The sequence below is a fragment of the Homo sapiens genome, chromosome 4 (assembly GCF_000001405.40).
Source record: "Homo sapiens chromosome 4, GRCh38.p14 Primary Assembly".
NCBI lineage: Eukaryota > Metazoa > Chordata > Mammalia > Primates > Hominidae > Homo > Homo sapiens.
This window is the reverse complement of record NC_000004.12, coordinates 112,120,814-112,131,368: the sequence shown is the minus strand read 5'-3', so window position 1 is coordinate 112,131,368 and position 10,555 is coordinate 112,120,814. Positions and strand designations below refer to the sequence as shown.

Below are 10,555 nucleotides of genomic sequence, written 5' to 3'. Positions count from 1 at the left end.
CGCTTTTGTAATGAAATGTACCTTTTCAGTCTTTGCTTTCTAAAACTCATGATACTTCATTCAACCCCTCTGTGGGTTGTCTGAGTCTCTGCAATGTACCTAAATATTTCCATTTACAAAAGAAATGTGTCCTGGGTTTCTTCTTTCCATCACATTGAGTTGATCAGTTTCTGTGGCTTGTAAGGGCCCGGCTGAGGAGAGGAGCTGGTGTGGGTGGGAATTTGGCTGACTCCACGGTTTTCCATATGCACCGTGTGCTCCTTGTGCTTGAGCAGGAAGCTGGTCTCCACTGACAGACCTGGGAGCAGGAAAACAGCCACTGTGTAGGTGGTTTTGAAGAAACCTCCCTCTGTTTTTCCTGTACCCAGCCGGTGTAAGTTTTTGAATGGTGGTGCTAAAATGACCTTCAAGTTTTGCCTTTGATTTAATAGGATTTCAGGCTTGTGTTAAAGATTGCCTGTGGTTTTGGACTTGTATTTTAATGCATTTTACAAGACAATTTATCTCCAGTTTCGGTTTTCCATGAGACACATTTTTGTGCAAGTGTTTATTGTTTTTAATTTTGATTATGCAATTTGATTTAAATCCAATGATCTCTCAGTGGAAGTTTATACTACTTTTATTGTGGGGGAGGAAAATGAATTTGTTATAATTTTCATTAGTATTATGATTTATGTGATGTGAAGTTACATTCTAGATGAAAGCGACAAAATACATGTTATTTTCTAGATAATTTCCTAAGGTGTATAGTTTTCAGATCACCAAAAATATTGACGAATTTAACATTTCCATCTTCCACTATTATTATTTTTGCTTTTTTTTGCTAGCTAGCAAAGCATATTTGTTTAGATTCTCCTTGCTCACAGGTGCTTAAAATTTAATTGAAACGATACAGCATTTACAAAAAGAATACATGTTTTGGAGTTGAGAAAATGTCAAAATAAGTTAATGGAACATCTTTATGGTCTTCAAGGATTTATATTCTGAAAGAACATCTTCATTCTGCCTTGTCCCAGAAAATTAGCTGCTTCATGTAAGGACAGGAGGGCAATTTCAGGTAGAAACCCTAGGATTGTTTGTTAACCTGTCGCTGCGTAGTCCTGAACATATAGAATGGCACAGTCTTCAGTAATTATTATTTAAGTTGGTGAAGTGGTTCACTTTGGTTATTTAATGAAATATCCTTTTCCAAGTTTTGCTTAACTTTTCCATATATCTCAAGGAAAATCTGCATTATAATCTTGTGTGCTAACTTAAAATATTAGGTTTCAAGGTTAAAACATTTAAACCTAACATTAGTTAGGTTTAAAAATCCATAAAGGCCTATGACTGTCTCCAAGGTAGTATTTATATAACATAAGGTAGTGTCTTTTAAAGTAGCAGTAGTGGTAGCCATATGTTGTGCTAATGTATCTTCTCAATGCTGAGAGCAATTGACAGTTTTACATATACATGTTTTATATATACATATTAAAAATTATATTTTAAGATTTAAAAAGTCTTGATAGCAGCTGGTTTTTATGTATCACATGTAAAAATGCAGAGTATAGTTTTGGGGTTGTCATTTAAAAAATTATTTCAGATGGAGTCATAGCTCTCACAATTAGAGCTGTTTCATATTTGAGGGTGGTTCATTATGAACTGTTCCTTAGATAATTGGTCTCAGCCGACTTGGTATTTTTAATATGTACTAACAAATATTGAATACACTTTTCTGCTCTATTTAAACCCAGAGTGTGACCATTATCACTTACTGTGATAGGCAATTAAGTGATTGTGTAAGAGATAGCTTTTATAATGTCTAGGAAATATGGTATTTTTGAATATGTTGGGGCTATAGTAGACTGATAGCTAAGTTTAAAGCAGGGGTGGTACTTGGTAAATTCATGAGCTTTAAGTTCAGCAGTGAAGTGTCCAAGCTGTGCAGTCAGATGGGCTTTTAACTTTGATTTTGTCATTTATCATCAGTGTAACCTCAGTCAAGTTTCTAAGTTTGTTTTTCTTGTCTGTAGAATGAGACTAAGGTATCTACCTTATTGTGGTAATTACATGAAAAAATACATAATCTGATTAATTAACATAGTTACATTTACACTTCAAAGTTACAGACTATATTGTAGATTATAAGCTTGATTATAAACTATTAGGGACTTTTAATCAATTAAGTTTATTTGCTTTTTACAAAAACACTGTGATTTTGAAGGTCTTTTTTTCTAAGTAGGTGGCCTAGAAACCTTTTTACCTAGCAGATTTCTGATAAAAAATCTTCATTTTCAAATTGAATGTATAGGACGGTGGAGCTTGAAAAAAACCTTAAGAGCACATGTATTCCACCTGTGCATTTATTGGTAGGAGGCTGAGCCCTGTAAAGTTTAACTGACTTACTCCAAGTTGAAGTACAAAAGGAAGAAAAAGCCATGAATTTGATCATTGCTTTTTATGGGCTAATTATGATAATGGGTATTAGCCCCTTAAGGAAAGCAGAAAAATGGGACAGTCATCTAGACAATAGGGATCTGATACATTTAAAAAATAAACTCTCCAAATATTTAATGATATATATAGATCATAGTTATATGGATCATAGTTTTGTTGTCTTGCTGTAATTATTGTCAGTACCTCTTTCACCCTCAATAGTGTCTCAATTTGGGTAATATATTATGTGCATTTCCTGTTTAACTGTGTTTATATAGGCAAAGAGAGGCAACCATCTGGTGAATTGTGGACTGGGTCGATTCGAAAAGAGACTACTTTTTTTCTTGTTCTAAAACTGAAGTTCAGCTGGAATTACTGAACCATTGCTCAACACTTCTTTCATCTTCTGAATATAGTCTTCTACAAGAGAAGTTATTAATTGATTGGAGGAGATGAAAGGATCTACTAATCTGCTGGAATCATATGCAAAATGGTGAGAGTGTACATGTGAGCATTTTTCTGGGAAGTGTGTCCATGTTTTCTGTCAGATTCACCCTAAAAGACTAAAAACTATTGCTCCCTTTATGTTCTATAAACAAATTCCTGGCCCCTGTTGTGCTCCTTATTATCAAATCTGTAAGAGACAGAAAGAAATTAATTTCAAATAGTCCTTTTACAATTAATATACCTCTATAAATTTAAAACTCTTCAGTGAAAATTATTACAATGAGCCATATGAAATGTTGACAAAATCCCTTGAATGTGAGGTGCATGATAAGAGAGCTCATTTACAAGGAAGGGGGAAGGCAACACCAAACAGCGGGTGTCTGAAATTCCTTTATGCCAGAGTAATAGAATTCTTGCCAGTTTTTGACCTGAGGAAATGAACATTTCATATGGTTTACACTGAATGATCTCACAAGCAAATTTAATTCAACACATTGTATTGAGATCCTACTTTATGAAATCATTGTACAAGGGACTGTTCAAGGAGTATACATCCCTCCGCATTTTAGGAGACTATAGAGAGTTTTAATTCGAGAAATGACTAGATTTGTATTCAGTGTGACTCAGTGGCAGTCTGACTCAGTACTCAAGGAAATCCAGTTCTAGTCAGGGACACAGACATTTAAGTAACTAATATAATGCACAGCAGAATAAAAGTAAGCATTAAGTAACATGCCGTGGGTACACAGAGGAGAAGCAGGGTGGGCTTTGGTGAACAGGCCATGAACAACAGGATCTCCTCTTGTAGAGAGCAGATGAATGGATAGAACAGACTTGAGGAACTTGATTTGCCATGGTTTTTTCTTGTTATTCTTTCTTCCTGCTTTAATCAAATTCTTTCTTTCTGCTTTAATCAAATTCTTTCTTTCTTTTCTTTTTGTTTCCTTTTTTTCTTTGCCCTTCATCCTTTTTTTTTTAAAGTGGGAAGGCAAAAAAAAAGTTTCTTAAAATGACTAACAGAAGAGCACATGCTTTCAGAGTGCAAATCACTGAGCTCTCTGGGATAAAGAGTCTAAATATACACTTAAATCCAAATATAGACAGAAAAGTATCTGCTGGGTTTCCAGGGAGCACACTGACCAGTTGAATGCAGTTTGCTTTATTCTCTGTTTTTTTTTTTAAAGAAAAGTTAAGTTTTAAAAATTGTAACTATCAGAAAAAGACAGTATAATCGCTCAATTTTAAATAACTGCCTAACTAGGGAGCAGAGTCCCAGGAGAGGGCTGGCAGAAATAGCACAGGCTTTTTTTAGCTGCCTGTATTTTAACTTTACGTGGAGAAAAATGAAATCTCTGTAATCAAAGTATGTACAAGTATGTATAGAATTAGAAGGCCTAAATTGTTAAGTGGGTAAAGAATTCCTTCAAAGAACATGTAAAAATTCAAATATAATGATATTTTCTACACACACAGAATTATATATTTTAACCTAGTGATAAAAAGACATGAGCTCTATCAAGAGAAAAAGAAAAGCAGAATATACAGTTGCACCCACAGTTAATAAGAACTGTCTCTGGCAGAAAATAATTCTTATTACTATGTATTTAATTTGTAAACATTGAAGGTCTTTGAAATTTTGATTTTAAAGCTAATTTTCTAGAACAAATAATAGAAGCATACAGATACTGAAGGTCATCTCTCCTAACTTTCCTATTTCATAGTTGAGGACTTGGAAGCCCAGGGAGAGACGAGGTGGCTTGGTCAAGTCTTCTACTCCATTGGTTATTTAGTGCCGTAGCATCTGTGTCACTTATTTTAATGAGTTTTCAAAATTCATGACAACCAAAAATTATAATTAGGTATTTTTATAAGGATATATGAAACTTGACATCAATGATTATTACATTCCAATTTTCTATTTGTTCTAATTGTTCCAAGAAAAGAAGGTTTTATTCTTTTCTATACAGGTTCTCTGGATGTGACTACATACTTGGGAAGGGAAGAAGAAAATGGAAGCAAATATCAAAATCTTAGTTCTCAATGTTTTAACTAACAGTTTAGTTCAGATATAATTCAGAACTGAGTACATACTGTAAAATGCCCTTGTAGAGTGCACAGTTCAATAATTTTTAGTATGTGCACTATATTGTTCAGATATCATTCATTACCTCTTTTTTTTTTTTTTGAGACAAGGTCTCACTTTGTTGTCCAGGCGTAGTACAGTGGTGTGATCACATCTTGCTGCAGCCTCAACCTCCTGGGCTCAAATGATCCTTCCATCTCAGCCTTCTTGGTAGCTAGGACTATAGGTGCATGACACCATGCCCAGCTAATTTTTTGACTTTTTGTAGAGATGGGGGTTTTGCCATGTAGCACAAGCTGGTCTCGAACTCCTGTACTCAAGTGATGCACCTGCCTCACCCTCCCAAAGTGTTGGGATTACAGGTGTGAGCCCCCATGCTTGGCTACTTCTATTTCCAGAATATTTTTATCTCTCTCTCTCAAAACCCCATATCCACCGGGAGTCATTCACCATTTTCCCCCTTTTCCCCAGTCCCTGGCAACCACTATTCTGCTCTGTTTTTATGGATTTGCCTATTTTGAACATTTGATATAGATGGAATTATACAATATGTAGCCTTTTGTGTGTGGCTTTTTTCACTTACAATAATGTTTTCAAGATTTATCCATGTCGTACTATGTATCTGTACTTAATTTATTTTAATGGTCATATAAAAAAGTATTCCAGTATATGGATACACAACAGTTTGTTTGGCCATTCATCAGTTAATGGACATTTGAGTGGTTTTCACTTTTTGCCTATTGTGACTAATACTGCTATAAATAGTCACGTATAAATTTTTATGTCAACATAAGCTTTCTGATTCTCTTGGTGTATCTGCCTAAGGGTAGAGTTGGTGGGTCATATGGTAATGCTATGGTCAACATTTTGAGAAACTACGAGGCTGTTTTGCAAAGTGACTTTACTATTTTACATTCCCACCAGCAATGCATGAGGGTTCCAACTTTTCCATATTTTCCTTTAAAAATTGTTAGTGTTTTTTTTTTATTATTATAGCCATCCTATAGGTATGAAGTGGTAAGTCACTGAGGTTTTGACATACATTTCCCTAATGACTAACGATTTGGAGCCTCTTTTTATGTGCTTATTGATAATTTATATATCTTCTTTGGAGAATATCAATTCAAATCCTTTGCTTATTTTAAAAATTGGGTAATTTTATTTTTAAACTATTGATTTGTAGAAGCACTGGATATAAATCCCTTATCAGATATATAAATATTTTCTCTCATTTGTGGGCTGTCATTTTATATTCTTGATGATGTCCTTTAAGGCACAAAGATTTTGAATTTTGATGTTATAGCTAAGGTACCACTGCCTAATGTAAAGTCATAAAGATTTACTCCAATCTCTTCTTCTAAGAGTTTTATAGTTTTCACTCTTCCATTTAGATATATGATCCATTTAGCCTGAATTTTTGTGTATGGTATGATATAGGGGTTCAAATTCATTCTTTTGCATATGGGTAGAGAGTTGTTCTGGCATTATTTGTTGAAAATATATTCCTCCTCCATTGAACTGTCTTGGCACCTATGTTAAAAAATCAATTAACCATAAATTTAATGATTTATTCCTGGGATCTCCGTTCTTTTCTACTTATCTATATTTCTACCCTTATGCCAGTCCCATATTGTCTTGATTAATGTAGCTTTGTAGTAAGTTTTGATGTCAGAAAATGCAAGTCCTCAAACTTTGTTTTTTCAAATGTTGCTTTGGCTATGTTGGGTCCATTACATTTCCATATAAATTTTAGGATCAGCTTATCAGTTTCTGAAAAAAAAAAAGCCAGGAGTTCTCAATATTTACTGAGGAATAGTTTGTTATAAGACGACCTAGGTACCACGGAGACTACAGAGATGAAATCCAGTCTTTAATCCTAAAAGAATCAACAATCTTGTAATAACACATACATGTCAACCATCAGTTTATTGCCTCTCAGCTCCAGATTCACTCCACAATATATGCCCTTTGATAATAGGCAGAATTCTTTTAAGTGTCTCCTCCTTACAGTGAGCATAATGCTAAGTTTTCTTAGTAGAGGCTGTTGGAAAGATGTCTCCTGCTGTTTCTGGCTGCTCATGGCAAGTTGGTGGAGTGGGTTTGAAGACATTTGGTGGAACTCTGTTTTGGCCACATTCCTAGAATATGCAGTCACTAGGTAACCTTGTAGTTTCAGCCTATCCTGGCAATAAGCTTCCCATGGACCCCTTGGCATGGAAACTGGTGTCCCAAAGTCTTCCTGAACACATGAATGCCCCAATTCCCTGTGCAAGCCTGCATGTGGATTGTCAACAGCCTGAGAGTTTTCCCCTGAGACATTACTCTTTATTTGGGCTCTGTGGCTTGCCTGCTCCCTGGATTCCCACCACCTGTGTATAACCATGCATCTGGCTTCTGATCTGCTGAGCTCTGGCTGCACTCTGGAGGGATGCTTCCTGCTCTCCTAGTGACCCCAGACCAGCTCGGGCTAATGCAAACCAGTGAACTTTTCTGTTTCAGTTATCAGGCTAAACTATACCTTCTCCAATGAGGTCTGAACCCCAGGTCTGGGGAGGGGGCCCCCTTACAACTTTGTTCTTCCTTGATACTCTTATTCAGCCCTAGGGTTCCTTATAGTTTTCCTTTACTGTCCTTTTTTCTGTATATTCATTTATCAGAGTTTAATAATTCTTTATATTATACTTCTTCTATGTAACCCACTGTGTGATTGGATCCACACTAATACAACAAATAACATTACAGTTCGGAATTAGTAGGTTATATCTTAAGAGATCTGCCAGTGAGATAAGGATTTGGTGCTTACAGTCTGTTGATGGAATCAGGAAAGAATTAATGAGGGAGTGCAATTTAAGATGAGCCTTGAGGGATGGATAAAGATTTCCTTTGAACTTGCCATTAGGGAGCTTATCGTTTTAAGATGATTGCCCAGATCTCCACTTCAAGGGTAAAGACATTTACAAACTGAATTATACTATTTGTCCCAAACAGCTCTCCTTTACTCCTAACTGACAAGCTTACCCTGGATTTTGTTAATGGTCTGGGTGGAGTTGCTAAACAAGGATTTAGAGATGAGCAGAAGAGATACCTGAACCTAAGTGGGTCCCTGACCCCCAGACAAGAAATATTTAAATGACATAATCTCCTCAGAATTACTTAATTAAATGTCTGAAAGAAAGGCTTTGATGGACTGTTTAGTTTAGTTAGAAATGAACACCTACAGCCATATGTACCAATTAATTTCCTCTCCAAATGTTTGCATACTGTTGGGTAGATGTGGCCTACGTTTTGGAAGAATTTTTTTCCTTCGAAGTAGTCATTACACTGTTTTATTTCCTATATGAACACCGAGTACACATTACTTTTCATTTCTTTTTGCTTGCCAAGCCTTTTAATTTTCTTTCATCTCTTTACAAATATCGAATAAAAAATTACGATTTGCAGGGCTATTCAAAGCATAGTTCCTGGACCAACAGAATCAGCATCATTTGCGAGCTTATTAGAAAAGCAAATTTTGGGGCTCACCTCAGACTTAATGAATCAGAATATCTGAGGGGTGGGGCCCTGAATGTGTGTTTTAACCAGTTTTCTAGGTGATTTTATGCACACTAAAGTTTGAGAAGCGCCAGTTAGGATTTTACAAATTGCATTTCATTTGAGACACATTCTAGAATTTAAAAAATATCTGGGATCTTAAAAGCCACTTCCAGTTGGAAGTGTGTATCTCTAGCATCCCTGATAGGTTGGCATCTAAATGCTGCTTGACATTTTTTACAGACGTGAGTTCACCACCTCACAAATCAATCTGTTATATTTGGGAACAATTCAAATTATTGAAAAATCTCAAGGCCAGGCACAGTGGCTCTTGCTTGTAATCCCAGCACTTTGGGAAGCTGAGGTGGGAGGATCCCTTGAGCACCGGAGTTCAAGACCAGCCTGGGCAACACAGCAAGACTCCATCTCTATAAAAAATAAAAATAAAAATAAATAAATAAATTAGCTGGGCATGGTGGTGTGTACCTGTGGACCCAGTTATTAAGGAAGTTGAGGTGGGAAGGCTGCTTGAGCTCAGGAGGTTGAGGCTGCTGCGGACCATGATCATGCCACTGCACTCCAGCCTGGGCAAGAGAGCAAGAATCTGTCTGAAAAAAACCAAAACAAAACAAAAAAAAAGAAGAAGGAAGAAAAATCTTATTTATTATACATTTAATCCAAATTGAGTTGATTGCTGCTTTCGATCCTTGCTCCCAATCCTCCTCATGAGGAGCATGAAATAAATCTAGTTTCTTTCTTTTTTTTTTTGGAGACAGTCTCCCTTTGTTACCCAAGCTGGAGGTCAATGGCACAATCTTGGCTCACTGCAACCTCCGCCTCCTGGGTTCAAGCGATTCTCCTGCCTCAGGGATTACAAGTGCCCGCCACTACACCCTGCTTGTATTTTTAGTAGAGACGGGGTTTCACCATGTTGGCCAGGCTGGTCTTGAACTTCTGACCTCAGGTGTTCCACCTGCCTTGGCCTCCCAAAGTGCTGGGATTACAGGCGTGAGCCACCGCACCTGGCCTAAATCCAGTTTCTTTTATACAGTCCAGACATTTAGATATTTGAGACAGCTGTCTGCTCTCTCCTAAGAATTTTCTTCTCAAGAGAGAATATCCTTAGTCCCTTTACTTTCCCCACCTAATAATGCCTTTTGGATTCTTCATTCAGAATGTATTTATATGTCAATATTCTGCCTAAAAACATCACATCCAGGCTCAGCATGGTTGGAGCTCATGTCTGTAAACTTAGAACTTTGAGAGACTGAAGTGGGAGGATGGCTTGAGCCCAGGAGTTCAAGACTGGTCTGAGTAACATAGCAAGACCCTGTCTTTACAAAAAAAAAGAAAAAGAAAAACATCACCCCCAGGAACAAATATAAACTTTTCCAAGATGTTTATCCAATTAAGGCTATTAAAGATTGTTCTGCCAGATGTAGAAATTAACTGAATCCTCTCCTGGACTTTAGAAAGTTGAATTCCAAGCCTGATTTTGGACAGAACACTCAATTTCTGTGGATTTAATTAAAACTGGAATTACTATGTGGCACTTAAACCTGGGGAATTGCTAATGTTTAAGGAGCAGATATTGCCAATAGAGCTTTTGAAAAGAACTGAAATGGAATGGTCACAAAAGCCAGGAGAATCAGTAGAAAGTCATGTTGCAGCTATTTGATTCTTTCTCTTAATAGGTATGTGCTAAGACCTCAGTCTGGACAAGTCCCAGGAGCCTGGGTTGGGCTTTAAGACAGGGTGTTCTTTGCCCAGGGTGCCATAGTTCTCCATAAGGAATCAGGGGTAATTGACAGATACAATGTTCTGCTGGTGGGCAAGGTTGGAGTAAAGATAAACACTCCAAAACTGGGTCGAGCAGGCCTGCATGAAAACAGATTGTTGATGAAGAAAGGACAGATGACTGTGGATCGATAGCAGCATGTTCTCATCCATGTCCTTCCATGCTTGCTTCCACAGATATGCTGGAGGACTTTAAAGATCAGAAGACAAGTGACATGCCTGTAATCTCAGCACTTTGGGAGGCCAAGGCAGGTGGATCACTTGAGGTCAGGAGTTTGAGAG

General features: G+C 36.9%; 1 long non-coding RNA gene across 1 annotated transcript; it reads left to right on the top strand.

Annotated features, from left to right (window-relative positions):
* The first annotated feature begins 291 nt into the window (after positions 1 to 291).
* LOC105377370 (uncharacterized) lies at positions 292 to 10,521 on the top strand. Its single transcript, XR_939078.2, has 3 exons — positions 292 to 373; positions 2,694 to 2,908; positions 10,451 to 10,521. It is a non-coding gene; the product is annotated as an uncharacterized LOC105377370 (long non-coding RNA).
* The last annotated feature ends 34 nt before the right edge of the window (positions 10,522 to 10,555 follow it).